Genomic DNA, 15,629 nt, shown 5'->3' with positions numbered 1-15,629 from the left:
ATAATTAGCCCTATCTTCTTAAAATTGGCTTTATAGAACATAGCAGCATCTGCACATTTTCTTAAAGTTTGTGAAGCAGTTTTATGTTTTATCCCAACTTATCTTTCATATTAAGAATTTTATTAATTCTTTATGACAAAGTAAGTCATCTAAATAAACCAGCAGTCTGAGTATATTAATTCAGCTGAAATGATTATATTTCAAGGACTGCATAGATTGGATTTCCTGGCCTTCAAGGTAGCTCTGATTCTCCAAATCAAAAAGCCCAAAACAGTTCAGAAAACAGATATTCTCACCACCCAGAAAAAAAAAGAATGTGAAGTAAAGAAAAAAAAAAGAGAGGGGAGATATAAATTTAAATAGCAGTCCGTATATTCTGAGTAAGAACGATCATACCAGGAAAAATTTCTTCCCTGAGGAAAGCTAAGAACAGACTGTAACAGTCAAATGTGGAGTGATATTATTTTCTATTTCCCTTGTCAGAAGGGATTCAGTCTTTGAAATATGGCTAGCAAAACTGCAGATTTTGGTTCCATGATTAATTAACTAAATTATATTTTATTTCTTAAATGTGTTGAGGATTCAGCCTGTGGTCTTCCCCTGATCTTGAGGATTAGAGCTGTTGAACAGCACATCTGGTTATAGGCCAAGAGCTCTCTGGGTGGTTCTCTTTCTTTCCTCTCTTAGAAATAGGCAATGTGGGGGAACTTCAGAAACTTTTATTAGGCAAGTGTGGTTTTTAGTTTTCAAAAATGGTGTTTACTCTCTCTCTTCTCCCTTTCTCATGAGGAGAAAGATTAATTATTAACATATATGTCATTCATAATTTAAAATTTCTGTTCTACGGGATTTTATATCACTTGTTAATACTTTCCCTAAATAAAATATTTGTATTCATCAGGCAAATGTTTTAATCTCCACTTGCTTGGGAAAAATTTTTACATAGACTTCATAATAATAAAATATGTTGTTTCCCTGAAATTATCACATTAAAAAAGCTGAAATGCTGTAGATGCTCATGTCTGGGTAAATGCACTATCTTTAATTTTTAATAATTGCTTCTTCCTCTGTCAAACCACACTATCATGTCCTGGAAGATGTCACTATCTTACGTATACCTCTAAAAGGTATAAAGAAATACCTTTATATAGTAAATCATTTTCCTCCTTCTTTCTTTCAAAAAGCATGCATGAGCCTTAAGATATTTAATTTTAAAAATTCAAGATTCAGGGACCAAGAGTAGTAGAAAATTTCTAGTTTGCTACAAAATTTTTCCCCGACTAATTTTGTGAGCTCTTCCTCACCAAATCATGTAAAAATTGATTTTTGGAGCAGTAGTTCTCTAACTGTGGTCTAAGAACATCCTTTAGGTATTACGCAGGCTTTTCCCATTTCAAAAGAAGACATGTGCTCATATCTAGGGAAGTTTCCCAGCTAGAACAAGCAGAAAAGGAAAAGAAGCTGTTTACTCTGAAGGACTTTACTGCTGAAAATGTACCCACTGGAACTTCAGAAAGCTGGGAATTAACTGATGCCACAGCTTTCACAATCCTTGGAGAACTGTTGTTAGTGTGGTGCATGTTTGTTTAATTTTTCTGATCAGAGCAAGTGGGTTAAATGCTTACACAGTTTTTTAATTTTAGAGAAACACAGTCTTTGAAAATGGGGTTAAAACTTTTTCCACTGAGTAAAGAAAAATCAATAATGAAGAATGTTAATGCAATATGATGCCAATTGTGTAAAAAGTGTAAGAGAAAATATTTTAACACCAAAATATTAATTGTATCTAGCTCAGACTGGTGAAAAATTGGTGTCTTGATAGTCCCGTTTCAATTTTGAAATGTACAATAATACATTTTCAAAAATGAACATGTATTACACTTTGGTATTACTCCTATAATTTACAAAATTACTTGCAGCTAAAGATTACAAAAACAGAGATGGGGAGGAGGGGAGAAAAAAAAGGATTACAAAAACAGTAGAAGTACTCCGTACAAAAAAAAAAAAATTTGCTTACTGCAGCGGTGTTGTACACTGCAGAATACACCTTTTCCCCAAAAGTCTCTAAATCTTAAAAAAATCTAGATAATCATAAAATATTTAGAAAACAATTGAGCACTACTTGTGGAGCCACTGATTGTTATTTCCCATAGTAAGTCTTGAGAAAAGAGATTTGTGTGGTCTGGAATAAAGTAGTCAGAGAAGGTTTCGCAAGGAGGTGTGATGGGAGCAGAATCTTGGAAGAAAGCATGGGAAGATTTGCAAAAACGAGGCACAGAGCAAGGACACTTCACATCAGAAGTCAGAGAAGCCAAAATGAGACCAGAGCACATGAAAGGAGACTAGAACACAGGGAGTTAGTATACTAGCCTAGCTAGCATACTAGGGAACAATAGGAAAACAGTTACAATCTGTGTGTGTGTGTGTGCGTGCGTGCGCAAGCGCGCACACGTGTGTGTGTGTGACAGAGAGAGAGAGAGAGAGAGGTATCAGGCAGGCTGCTAGAGCAGGGATGGGAAGGTAGACTATCAAGAGTGATTTTTAAAATCAAGATAATTCAATTTTGATGTAAAGAATGAAAAGTGATTGTGAGTTCTAAAGAAAGAACATGACATGATTTTTTACATGTACTTGTAGAAAAATACACTAGCATTTGTCATTTGGAAATTCAACAAATATTCTTTAGGGATCTATTATATCCAGTCTTTGTAACCAACACATTAAGGACAAGCATGGATACAGAGAGTTTCCACAGGCTAGGAGGGTGGTACAGCAGTGCAGGTGAGCCAGGATAGAGACTTAAACAGTAGATGAATTCAAATTATTTTAGAAGGTAAACTTGATAGGATTTGGGGATGGATGGAACAGAAACATAAAGGAAGGAGAGTCAAGGATGAGTCTGAAGTGCATAAGTCTTGCATCCACATGTTACCATATAGGAAAACAGGGAAAGCTGTAGGAGGATCAGACTGGGGAAAGAAAGTTCGTTAGTTCCATGTTTTGTTGATTTTGAGGTCGAAGCACGTTTGTGATATTCAAATGGAAATGTCAAATAAGTGGCTGCAGATATGGATTGCAGCTCCAATGGAGAGTCTTGAAGCTGTAAACTGGGAGTGGTTAGTATATAGATGGTTATTAAAATGGTGGGCCTAGAAGATAACTCCTAGGCAAAAGGTATGAAATGGGAAGGGGAGGGTAAAGTGGCTAGTACTTAGGCTAGATTAGAAAGGTGTTCCACCAAGGATGGAGAGCTCATTCTCTCACTTGGTAAGCATTAACTGAACACAGGCAACAATTTAGCAACTGTCCCAGTAGTATACTACTGCTGGAGTCTAGACCAGTATTTAGGGAAGCAGCACTGGTAGAAAATGGAAAGTCACAATGTACATAATTATTTAATGTTACCTCCCAGTTTGAATTAATGGTGATATGTGAAAATGCCCAGGTATAAAAGTTTACATTGAATACCTACTTCAATGGGAACTTTCAAATTCATATATTTATGAGTTAGCTGAAAATAAAACAGAATGATATCCAGTCCCCAAAACCTAAATCTCCAAGAAGTCTCTAACTTAGCTATTATAAAATGAATTAGCAGAAAAGAAAAATACATAAAGATACCAGGTATATTACATATAATTGAGCTCAGCGGTCCTCTTGTTTTCTGAGGATCCTAGAAAACAGCATTTAGGAGACCTCTGTGGCCTCTAGGTGTCAATTTTCTCTGCAACACAGATTTTCGGCAAACTGCTGAAGCAGAGAGAGTACCAAAGAAAGGGGAGTAGACAAGGACAGGAGCCTGGGGCACTGACTCTCACCACCCTCCCGGCCCAAACCAAATCTAACAATCCCTTTGAAGACTAACACTAAATTTGTGTGGAAAATAACAATGGAAACTTGAGAAAATGTGGTTCTCTGTATATATCTGAAGTGCTGGCTAGGTCTTACACTTTGCCCATATTCAAGCTGATTGAACTTAGCATATCCTGGCTCAAATTTTGATTGAATTGGGCTCCTTGGCCTTTAAGTTGTATATATGAATTCTCTTTGAAAAGATTTGGCATCCCCGATTATATTTAGAGGACTGGGATCACCCATCTGTTTTTATGCTTATTTATAACTACACCACTTTCCAGCACTGTGAGGTCCTTGAAAATATAATGACATGACTGATGATGAGAAATTAAGTGAATGGGGTGAATGTTCTTATTCTCAGACAAACGTTTGTGGGAAAGCAATTTGCCTTACAGTTCTGGCCTTGTGCTCCTGTTTCTAGTGAACACTCCAGCTCAGATTATCTTGGAAAGTATGTATTAACCATCATCTATGCTATGAAGACAAAATATATATTATTCCAGTTTGTTACTCTCACCGTGCCTTGATTTGTTGACCCCCATTGTCAGGGAGTGGTAAGAAGTCGAAAATCCCTAAATTTACAGAAGGGGTTAAAAATTTATCCTCATCTGTCCTGTGAGTCTCTTGAAACTCTTGCCCAAAAATGGAGGATCAGTGGAGGCCAGGAGTCAGATTTGCAGATTGGAAATGGCTTTAGGTACCCAAGTTGCAGGCTCACACAAGATTTGGGGCAGTTATTGTTCTTTCGTGAGGAGGAAAGGTTACCCTGATCCCAGGGCCTAAAACTCTATGGTGCCAGGTTTTCTCTTCTGTCTTAACACTCCAGGCACTGTGAGGGCTTCTGTGGCAGTTTTTCAACATCTCACTAATACCAGCCACTTCTCCATTTCTCAGATCTGCCCTTCTTTCTTTGAAGACCTCAAGTACATATGCAGAAAAGTCCACACAGCTCCATGGGGACAAACCCTCTCCTCCGCCATGGAACCCAGGCGTCAGTCCTAGCACCCACCAATTCCATCCACGGTCATCTGGCCCCACTCCCCTCCTGCCACCCTGGAACCCCGACCACCCTCATTTGAAAGGAGGAGAGGCAGGCAGCCAATGCTCCTGCCAGGTGTCTACATGTTTCCATTAAGATGCATGTGTGTGCACCTTATATTCCTATAGTCCCTGAAGTGTCATCAAACTATTATTTCCCACGTTTTGTTACTGTCTGTCCTGCAGGAACCCAGAAATTTTTGAAGGCAGGATAGGTACCAGCGCAGCCTGGGAGGAGCGCGCCCCCTTTCGGCGAAAGAAGGCAAGGAGGAAAGCGTCTGGCGAGGCTCGCCGCTAATTTACCCGGCGGAAAGCAGCGCCTGGCGTCGCTACAGCAGAGAGGAGAACTGCGAAGATGGGGTGGGGGTGTTTGTTTCTTTGCCGAGGCAGAGACCACACCACTATAACCAAAAATACTGTGGGCTCTGTTTTCAACGTTAAAATTCTTCATTCAGTTAATTACTCTTCCACCCATTCCACAACCTCAAGCCCCAGTAAAGGTGAGATCCAAAAAGAGCCCCCTGTTCCGACTCCTATGTCAACTTTATTACTGCATCCGAGTTTCCGTGTATTCTCTCTCTGCCCGTTAAGAAAGTTTCCAATCACTTCACAGTAACTCGGTGAAAGTAAACAAAATAGGAGTAGAGCCTGCCCTTGCCCTTTCTCATAACTCGGATCTTGGGGATTCAAATTAATACATGAATTTCAGATTTATACCTTTGTAAGAGAGCTGAGCCTGGGCAGACTCAATGATGGTAAAAATAAGCCCCAAAGTTCTCGGGAATTAGAGCTTCTTCATTACGTGGAACAGCTAAGGGACTGGGACATCCAGTACCAGACGAATGTATTCTGGGCATAACTCAGACCCTTATTCCTATATCTGAGAACCGCGGGAACAGAAGAATCCCCAAGATGCTGGTTGTCCTCAGATTCCTCTAACTCACTTGTGCCTCTGATTGATTTATTCTGACATGTTTTCTTTATTTTCTTTCATAAAATTTCCTTAACCAACCACCATTTGTGCCTTAATTCCCCTCCCCTACGCTAACATGGCCCTAAAATCATCTTCCCAGATATATTTTTATCAAGAAAAGTAGTCCCAAGGCAAGTGAAATATGGTATTTTTTTAATCTTAAAGTTAAAAATCGATACCCCATAATTGTCTGGATGAGTACTTCCCTGAGGCTGCCGCATTAAATTAGAAAAATGACAACGACAATCTACTAATATTTAGTCCACAGTGGAGAGGTATTACTCAAGAACATCTACACCTGAAAAACAAACCTGCCAACCCTGAACCACTAATGACTGTTTCTCTGCAATGTATCTCCTAACTTATTGATTTTAGAATAAACAGCATTTGGAGAAAAGGAGGCATGGCAGCCGTTTGCTGACATTATTATTGCTGTTTGAGACTGTTGGGTTTTGAGTGCTTGCCTGCTCACCAAGCCGTTTGATTTTAAAGGAATCCAAATTCTTGTGGATACATAACGCTGACATATGCATCCTCTTTATTAATATATTGCTGTAAACGGAGTTAAAGGACACCCAAACAATGGGAATGGTACTCAAAAAGCATCAAAGTAAAATACAGAATTCGACAAAGGGCTCCCAATAAGATTACAACGGTGTACACTCACAGGCAGTTCTCTAAATGTTTGGACACGGAGAGTTGGCCCCTTATCCAAACATTGCCTGTAATTTTTTATCTGTAGCTATAAGGAATACTTTAAGGGTCCTGTTAATTAAACTTACAAAGGCTTAGATAGAGAATGCGAGCCCCCACGTTTTACATTTTCCTTGAGAGGATACTCTGACCCCCAAAACACTTCTATCACCTGTAGAAAAATAAGCGAAATGCAATCCTTATCTCCTTCTCTACAAACACACTCCCGATTTCAAAAAGTTGTTCCTCGTATAGCTTCTTCTAAAGGGGGGAAAAATACATTCATATTTCCAGAGCTGTTGAAAGTGAGCTCGGCCTTGGAACTGGAGGCGCGCCGGGGGTCGCAATGCAGGCACAGGCACGTACAGACCTTTGCAACAATCCGGTACCTGAGGGCCCTAGTGCTTCCGCCAAGGAGGGTTTTCCAGGAGTTAGGGGTCTGCGATGGTGGTGTGGTAGGCTGATGGATGGAGCGGGAAACAGTGTGTAGGAGAGGGATTGTAAAAGAAACATGCCTTTTAAAATAAAAAATCAGACTGGTCTAGGGATTGTCGTGGTTGAAAATCTACAGTTGTTATTTCTTGGAAAAGGGGCCTGGCTGGGAGAGACATTCAAAGCTGGGTCGGTGGAATAGAAACGCATCACTGCTTCTGAATTTTTTTTTTTTTTTTTTTTTTTTTTTTTGCAGTGGGGAGCCTGAAGGTGACATCTTGTTGGTTTGGAGATGATTTATTCGCTCGTGTTGTAAAATCTAAAATGACACTCCTGGGAAGAGGAAGGAACTATAAGGACCCGTGTGACCCATTGCTGTCTGCCTGAAGCCCTGGCGCTCTGACCTGAGTGCACCGGGGTTAGGTGTCTCAGCCAAAATGCAGGACTGCACGACGTCTAACACATGGGAGAGATGCTCTGAAACATGGGGGTGGGTATTCACTGCATTCCAGAGTTGGGGGATCTGGAGACCCAGTGAGTCCTTCGGACTTCACAGGCCTGTCTCCCCACACTTCAAATTCCAAATCGTCCTTCACCCAAAAGTGGGTAGGAGTCACTGGACTATCAATTTCCCCAAAATTCTAAGAGAAGGAGGTAACCCGGGCCCCTACTTCTGCATGTAAAATAAACCGAAATCACCACCTCTTGGCTGGCCTTGACATTCAGCTCTGGGGACTCAGTGAGGCACTTAATCCTGTATTTCACCTCCTCTAAAGAGAAAAGTTTCCAAGCTACCCTTAAAGCTTTATATTTCATTGGCTCCCCTCTTCAACGAGATAATTGAAGCTCAAATTTAGACTGCCAGTGGGCCCCAGAGTCCCAGGATGGTGCTGCATAAGAAAATTTCTGGCGCCAGGGTTGTTGCAAAAGCTGAGACTCTAGAAGCTGATATTACTGTGATGAGAATTCCAACTTGGGAGCGCCCTAGAAAATGTTCCCGCTCTCCTGGGCGTTTCTCTGGCGAAGAGAAGTTGGCGGGGCAAGGTCCCGAGAGAGTGTGGCTGGTAGATTGGGCAAGCAATTCCTTTGCGCTGCGTTTACACCTCTCCCTTTGTGACAAATCGATTTCCCGCGTCGCTGTTTTGTATTTGCATCCCGCCGCGGCCCGGGAGCCAGCTGCGCCGGGTGCACACTTAGCACCGGCTTGTGAATGTGTGCGTGTGTGCGCGCGTGTCTAATTGACTTTCCGTCTACCTTTTTATGACTACATGTGTTTCCAACAAAAGGTCTTATTAGGACAATCTGGTTTCGCTAATTTAGAGGTTGGAAACGTGGAAGGCAGGCGCATTTTTTTTCAAAGAGTTTGCAGAAGTTCAGATTAAGAAATGACAGCGGGATGCACTGTCCTCATTGAAGTAGGTCTGCCTATTTTTATGACCTGTTCCTCTTTCCTCTCCCTGATTACCCATGTTCTGCCACCACCCCCATTCACACTCCACACTCTCCCATTAGCCACTGGATCCCAAACAATGTTAAAGAACTATTTCTTTGAACACTTAATGTATTTGAGCACAGAAGTTGAGAATTTACTAGTCTGGGAGACTCAGTAAAAAGTGAAAGAAAGCATTCTACAGAGAGGACAGTGTAGTGAATATCAACCAAGGTGGGGGTGGGGACAGAATTGCTGATGGTGAGTGGGGTGGGGAGGGTCTGGGAGAAGCCCTCACTTTAGAGAATACCTACTCCTTCTAACTATATTCGGCCCAGGTTATAGTTAGGAATTTTGCAAAATTAAGAATCTAATATTGAAGGTGTAAGTGGAGTTTGTTTTGCTAATTTCAGCTGAAGAGAAAATTTAGAAAGGACGAGGACTGTTTCTATATAGCTAAAAGAGCCAAAGGCTTCTTTTTAATATTCCCCATCTCTCCGCAGGAGACAATCGTTTCCCACTCGAGTAGACTTCCAGCGGGATACAAAGAGCGCCAGACTCCTGGTTTCATCCCTGAGTCCCTTTGGGGGTGGGGGAGAGTCTGCTCTAGCCATCCTTTCCCGAGACACTCCCCTCTTCCCTGATTCACAGTCTGAGCCTCATTGTCACTGCAGGCTGGAGGCCCAGCTGTCCTGACTTCCAAGTAGCTCACAACAGCTTTCTTGGCAACTCTTGATGGGAGCCCAAAAACTAGGATTGCGGGTTCCCCTGGACGCTTGCTACCATAAGACTCGTCAGGCCCTCCCATTCTCATGCCAGCGGAGAAAAGAGAGGTTGAGAAAAGTGCTTATAAAAGCAACAAACTATTCGTTAGAACGCTACCCTCATCTCTCTAGGAAGCAAGGCCTGGAGTGTGTGTGTGTGTGTGTGTGTGTGTGCGCGCGCGCGCGCGTGTGTGTTTCTCGGCTACTTTCCTAGCTCCAGGTGCCTGTCACTTCGTCCCCATCACCTCACTCTGCCTTCTGCGGCCTCCTCCGGAAGCTGTCTCTTGATCATGCTTCCGCAGAGCATCCTCTTTCTGAGCCTCAGTTTCCTTTCTGGGTCTTCTCCCCACAAGGCCTCTCTAGTCATTGTAACTCTGAGATGAGCCCGAGTATCACGTGGGCGAGTTTCTAGAGTCTTCTCCCCTTCTCCCGGGACATACAGTCCCCAATTCCGCCCGGGATGCTGAGCTTGTCCTCGAGCGCTCCTGAGGACTCCACGTGCTCCACAGGGCCTCTGAGGCGCCAGGCTCAGGTCTCACAGAAGCCTGTCCCCAGTCCAGGGCAGCCTCCCAGCCACCGCGCGTCGCCTCCGAATCTGCTCGGGGGCGCTCCATAGCTAGCTTCCTCTGGCCAGCCCGGCTCCATACCCACTCTAAGGCCACGACGAATCCCGAGCTCCCTTCTTGGGAGTGGCGTCCACTCAGAGCCAAACAACCGGTACAATTTTCATCCCTCTTCCCCTGCAGTATCTGAGGGCCACCACGGCTGGCTTGTTCCCTAGGCTGGCCGAGGCCGCTGGCCTTGGCCCTGGTTTTCTCATCCTCCAGCCTCCTCATAGGGCAAAGCAGCATCTAGTCTCTCCTGCCCCACTCTGGTCTTCTAAGCAGAAGTTTCTTCGTGGTCCTGTTTTCTGTTGTGGGTCCAGCCTCTAGTATCCGAACAGTGGTAAATGTTGCAATTAATAAGTCGTCCTGGCAAAACAGAAACGACTGGACGTGCAGAATTGGTGAAGCTGGGGTCTACACCAAATGCTGTTCTCCCTACTTTTTTTTTTTTTTTTTTTTTTTGAGACGGAGTCTCACTCTGTCATCCAGACTGGAGTGCAGTGGCACTATCTGGGCTCACTGCAACCTCTGCTTCCCGGGTTTAAGCGATTCTCCTGCCTCAGCCTGCTGAGTAACCGGGATTACAGGCGCTCGGCACTACGCCCGGCTAATTTTTGTATTTTTAGGAGAGAGGGGTTTCACCACGTTGGTTAGGCTGGTCTCGAACTCCTGACCTCGTGATCTGCCCGCCTCGGCCTCCCAAAGTGCTAGGATTACAGGCGTGAGCCACCGCGCCTGGACTCTCCCTACATTTTTCGTTTTTCATTTTCCCTGGTAAAACGTTTAAAAACAATCATAGTATTTCTCAGTGCATTTTGTTAGAACTAAGAGTGCCTATGCAAACACTTAAGTAATGCTGCGGGTGCAGCCTCTCAAGCACCCAAACCCTAAAGAGAACGTCTCTGTCTCTGCGCCTAGCCCTTTATGCGGAACTTGAGGACACCTGGTTCTTCATTCCTCAGAGTTGGCCACCTTTCTCTGGTGTCCAGGCCAGACTTCCTCATTCAGTTCCTGTAGCAGTCTGCTAATGCATTGGGTGGATCGGCCCTAGGCCGCTTTTGGCTAAAAACACCCAGGGGCGCCCAGGCCGGAACTAAGGAAGCAGGGTGAAGACCAGGCGTCTTGAGCACACCAGAGGCTCTCTCTGCGGCTTGCTGTAGCGTGGCCCGCGGGGCCACCACTGTGCCCGGACCCTGTTTCCAATTGTTTCTATGTGCAGTTTGATTTGTATGTCTATTCTTTGAGAGTCTGAAATAGGCAACGTTTTGTGAAAATCATAGAATGCTGGAGGGCCCCCCGGTTCCACGATTTCCAAATTTGAAGACAAAAATGGTAACCAGCAACTACTGACATAGAAAGCAACCAGCCTCATTTGAGAACTTACAGCTAAGTTCAGACTCTTGCAACCTCGAGGAGAAGAGGGAGTATCTGTACATATCTGGCCACATGTCACCTGGGATGAACAGGGTGACCGGTCTGTTACAGACTTGGGGGCATGGGGATACAATTGCAGTCTCTTTTTAAGGCACTAGCGAAGCGAGATTTTCATGGGTCGCGAGGTTGGTCGGTGAGGATGGGGAAGGGAAACTGGACTTTTCTGGGCGTTTAAGAGCCAATAGGGAGAGCTCCTCTAAGGTGACACTGGCCTCCGCACTGAAGCTCGCGCCTCCCGGATGCAGCTCGCCTGTGCGGGATCATGCGGGGCTGGATTTCAGGTTTCACCCTTAAAGGACATTCCCTTTGCTTGGCCCGAGTTTTCCCAAGCCAGCCGGGCTTTTGACTCTGCCAGTCTCAAACCCATTTGCGGTAGAGGCAACAGCAGGGGGCAGAGAGCAGCTCCAGCGTCTGGGGCCGGGCGTTCTCTCGGGGCCTCCCGGTCGCGCCCGGCCTTACGGTGCCCGCGTGGAGAGTGCAGCCTGAGCAGCGCCAAGTCCTGCTCCCTGTGCCTGGTGCCCTCCCTCAAGCCGTCATACGCTGCCCGAGAGAAGCCCTTCCAACCCGACTCAGCATCTTTAACCTGCTGCTTTCCCAAACAGCGCTGGCTCTCTGAGTTTGCACCCCGCTAAGACCTTTTCCCAGCCCAGCCCCGCCGCCCCGCGTGCGGGATGAACCGAGCCGGTGCCTAGCCGAAGTAAAGAGAGTCCGCCGCGGACAGAGTCCCTGCCTGAGACCGCAGGGCCTCGGAGTGTCCCCGGACCTTGGAGCCTCTCTCCAGCGTCCTCCTTGGCTATGCCCTCGGCCGAGACCCGCTTTTCTCATCTGGTTTCCCCTGTGACTGGCCCTTCCTTTGAAGTCTGCCATCACCTCTCCTGGTCCCAGGACCTTGTCTTTCTGGCCGCGGACGGGCTCTAGCTGCCCTACACGGGTCCCCGCCCTCTGTCCCGGGCACACACCCCCGTGGGCATGCGCCCCTCACTCACTGTCCTGCTGCGGGGTGTCGCTGCCGCTGGTGAGTCCCGGCGACTCCAGCAGGCTCCGGCCAGCCTCGCCCACGTTCTCATCCGCCTGTGCCGCCACCATGTCCCCGGCTTCCTCCAGGTCTAGCAGGTGACTGACGGAGAAGTTCTTTTTCGCCTGCAGGGTGTCGAGGTTGCCCGGGCTGTCCAAGCGGCCGCCCAGCGCCGGTTGCCGCTCCAGAACGTGCCCGTAGCTGGAGGTCATGGTCTCCCCCACCGATCCCACCCACCCCCCTCTTCCCGCTCGAATCAACACCAAACGCTGTGGGCGCGAGGGGGGAGAGGAGCCGAGTGGGGAAGAAAGAGGGGGGTAGTGGAGAGAGAGAGAGAGAGAGGGAGGAAGAGGGAGGGAAGGAGAGGAAGGCCAAAAAAAAAAAATTGGAAAAGAGGGTGGGGGACCCCCTTCTGTAGAGCAGAGCGTTGTGCACCAGCCGCCTTCCGCAGCATTGGTTGATTTCCTGAGGCCAAGTCCGGCGCGGTCCAAAGAGATAATCCACAGTAAAATACAATATTAAAAAGTCACCCTATGTTCAAGTCAGGAGAAAAAAATCCCTTCCAACTCTCCAAAAGTGTCCACACGCACAGACTAAAAATAATAACAAGGGGGAGAGAGGAAAGCGGAGGCCAGCAGGGCGGGGGAGTTAGGCAAACAGAAGAAGAGAGAAGAAGGGGTGGGAGAGAAGAATCAAAGTGAATGGTTTTTTTAAAGGTTAAAAAAGTTATTCCCAGGCAAGAGTTCAAGCACCAACAGAAGAAGGCTTGTTCCAGCTTTAAAACATCTTCAAGAAAACGTGTTCCCCCCTCTCTGCACTCCTGTGGATTCTCAGGAGTGACTAAAGTTTCAGGAGGAGAGGGTGATGTCTTGCAGATGTATTAGAGAGCAGGATTCTCACTTTACTTTTTGTAAAGAGTAAAAAAAAAAATTAAGAATTAAAAAAAAAAGGCTTCAAGAGTCCGACGGAGGGTGCTGGTGGGTTCCCCCCTTTCCCCTTCTCTCTCTCCCCCTCTTCTTGCTGGGCTCCTTTTTCCTTCTCAGTTGGATCAAGAAGCTCTCTGGCACTTCAAAAGGCACAAACTGGCATGCAGAGGAGGCTTTGTAGGGAATACAAGAAAATTGGAGACCCCTGGGAGGGCAGATCTCGACTTAATAGGAGCCTGTAATTACGTGGCAAAGCCTTTGTGCTGTGCCTGACGTTTCACAGACCCCCTTTCTCCATCACAATCTCCTTCTTCCTCCTTTCCCTGGGACCAAAAAACAGTCTGATTAAGAAAACCCCCTTTGCCAACATCAGAGTTAGAGAGAAAGGGAGAGGGAGGGAACAAGAGAGAGGGAGGGAGAGAGGGAGGGAGGGAGGGAGGAAGGGAGAGAGAGAGAGAGAGAAAGAGAGAAGAGAAATGAGAGAGGGAAGAGAGCAAGAGAGCCCCTTTGGATTTCTAAAGGTCTAATTATCATTCCCCTGCAATAATATCACGGGGAGAAAAGACAAACTGAAACTCACAGTCACTTCAAACGTGCTGATTATTTTGCTTCGGCATTAACTCCTCCAGATTTGTTTAAGATCCTGTTGGAAAATCTCATTTGCATGTTTTGATAACAGCTGTGGGGAAATTTGGAAAAAATCCACCACCATCACAATCAAATTTTCTTCTCCTTCTGCCTTCCCCCAAACCGCCCCCCCCCAAAAAAAAATTTTCTGCTGTTCTAACAGTTTGGGGCGGAGTACAGGGAGAAAGTAAGCATATTAAGGCTATTTTTGGTTCCGTAGAGGGAGCCTATTAAATAATGTAATAAAAATAACAAAAGGGATGATAATAGGAAGTTCTCTCACGCCTCTCGCAAGGACTAAAGGCAGGTTGGGGAGATCCAGAGGGCACCGAGTTTATTTGAGGCTTTCCCCGCCATTAGGCATACCAGGACTAGGGCAATGAGAAAAGTACGTGTTTATTAAACTGGAAGAAAGGACTCCAAATATATATTATAATCTTTCTCCCTACCCCCGCCAATTTTGTAACTTCTACGGTAAGGCCAAAGTTGCTTCCCCAGGCGAGGACGCTAAACCCAGAGGGTCCCGCTGCCCAGATTCCTTGAAGCAGGCAGGAGCACTCCCAGAGGCAGGAGTTGGGGAGGCTTCCGTGCGGTTCTGCGTCCAGCCTGGCTGTGGTGGCAGGAGGACAGAGAGGGGCGGAGGAACCCCCATCTAAGTCTACGGATAATCCTCTGTCGTCCGTCTGCGGAGCCCTAACCTGACAGAAGACAGAGAGGTGCTGAGCAGTTTTTTCATGACCTGTTGGAATTTGGTAACAGCTTTAACAGTCTCATTAGAAATGAGTTACTGTATGACGACTCAGTAAAATATTAAGTGCTTATTTGTGGCGTTTTATGTTCTTTAAACGCGCACTCACACACACACACACGCATCCGTACTCCCGCACTCCCTTGATTGCTAGACTTTTTTTTTTTTTCGTCCTATAGTCAAGAGGCTCGACTGGAGAGAAAGAAGGGTACGAGTGTGTGTAAATGGTTTCTGGGCTCCAAACGGCCATAGTTAGCCCAGAACTTCCAGCCCTGATCTGGGAAAAGAACATTTGATGCCATCAAAGGGCTGTAGATTGAAACCAGATGTGCTCGCCTCGGTTCTTTCCATGCATTTAATTAAGGAACTGGGATGGAGGAGACTTTTTCATCATTAGTCCACCCACTCCCCCCTCCTCTCGGCGGTCTTTCGCCCTCCCCCCACTCTCCCCGCCCCCACCCCCATCCCTTGGCCGCTCGAACCCCCGACCGGGAGCCCAGAGCCCTGCCAGCGCCGCACTGTGCGCCGCGCAAGTCGCTCGATCTCCCCAGCGGTACCGGCTCTAAGCAGTAAACATCTGTGCGCTTCTGAGCCAGGGACGCGCGTGGGGGGTGGGCGTGCACGCGGGTGGGCCAGCGCAGAGTGGGAGCTTGTGGGTGCTTTCCGTCGGGATTTCCAACTCAGCTGCCTCCGAGAGCCTAAGCTGAGCGCCGCACGTGCTCGTGCCATCTGCTGTACTGGACGCAGTCTAATAGCGCAGAGAGGTTTCCATCCGGCATCCAGTTCGATGTGGGCCGTTTTTCCCTTCCCAGCGGTCTGTCCTTGGAGCTGATCAGTCTCCCCAAAACCTCCCTAGAAATAGAGCAGCTCCTCGCCTCTCCCTCCTTTCGCACTCTCTATCCTCATTTACACAGTTGCGTTTTAACGTTGCTGTTTTTCCCCTACACATACCCAATTGCCCGTCGTGACAAAGGTGTGGGTAAGGGCTGGGGACTTTTGGCACCCCCAAGACACGATGTTCCCCCTAAAGATCCAGCGTCCTCAGTCATTTAGGGGGTCAGCGTCCTCAGATCGCCCTTTCGAGGAAATT

General features: G+C 46.4%; 1 protein-coding gene across 3 annotated transcripts in view, besides 4 other annotated features; it reads right to left on the bottom strand.

Moving 5' to 3' along the window:
• Positions 1–13,901, bottom strand: part of PRRX1 (paired related homeobox 1) — a 76,654-nt gene extending 62,753 nt beyond the window's left edge. For 2 of the 3 annotated variants that reach the window (NM_006902.5, NM_022716.4), the window contains exon 1: positions 12,210–12,538. In NM_006902.5, the coding sequence (NP_008833.1) occupies positions 12,210–12,450 (241 nt within the window). In that variant the 5' untranslated portion in view covers positions 12,451–12,538. Of the gene's footprint in view, positions 1–12,209; positions 12,539–13,744 lie in introns of those variants that run through there. The other variant, XM_006711388.4, reaches the window with a different exon arrangement.
• Positions 7,675–8,197: an enhancer, noted in NCBI's record as "H3K4me1 hESC enhancer chr1:170637613-170638135 (GRCh37/hg19 assembly coordinates)". NCBI's record gives its function as "activates a minimal SCP1, AML or CMV promoter by ChIP-STARR-seq in primed H9 embryonic stem cells {active_cell/tissue: H9 hESC(primed)}" and the evidence as "EXISTENCE:reporter gene assay evidence [ECO:0000049][PMID:30033119]".
• Positions 8,198–8,720: an enhancer, noted in NCBI's record as "H3K4me1 hESC enhancer chr1:170637090-170637612 (GRCh37/hg19 assembly coordinates)". NCBI's record gives its function as "activates a minimal SCP1, AML or CMV promoter by ChIP-STARR-seq in primed H9 embryonic stem cells {active_cell/tissue: H9 hESC(primed)}" and the evidence as "EXISTENCE:reporter gene assay evidence [ECO:0000049][PMID:30033119]".
• Positions 11,045–11,905: an enhancer, noted in NCBI's record as "H3K4me1 hESC enhancer chr1:170633905-170634765 (GRCh37/hg19 assembly coordinates)". NCBI's record gives its function as "activates a minimal SCP1, AML or CMV promoter by ChIP-STARR-seq in primed H9 embryonic stem cells {active_cell/tissue: H9 hESC(primed)}" and the evidence as "EXISTENCE:reporter gene assay evidence [ECO:0000049][PMID:30033119]".
• Positions 13,106–13,633: an enhancer, noted in NCBI's record as "NANOG hESC enhancer chr1:170632177-170632704 (GRCh37/hg19 assembly coordinates)". NCBI's record gives its function as "activates a minimal SCP1, AML or CMV promoter by ChIP-STARR-seq in primed H9 embryonic stem cells {active_cell/tissue: H9 hESC(primed)}" and the evidence as "EXISTENCE:reporter gene assay evidence [ECO:0000049][PMID:30033119]".

Source organism: Homo sapiens, chromosome 1 (genome assembly GCF_000001405.40).
Source record: "Homo sapiens chromosome 1, GRCh38.p14 Primary Assembly".
NCBI classification, from domain to species: Eukaryota; Metazoa; Chordata; class Mammalia; order Primates; family Hominidae; genus Homo; species Homo sapiens.
The sequence above is the reverse complement of the archived record's forward strand: the minus strand, read 5'-3'. Positions and strand labels throughout refer to the sequence as shown.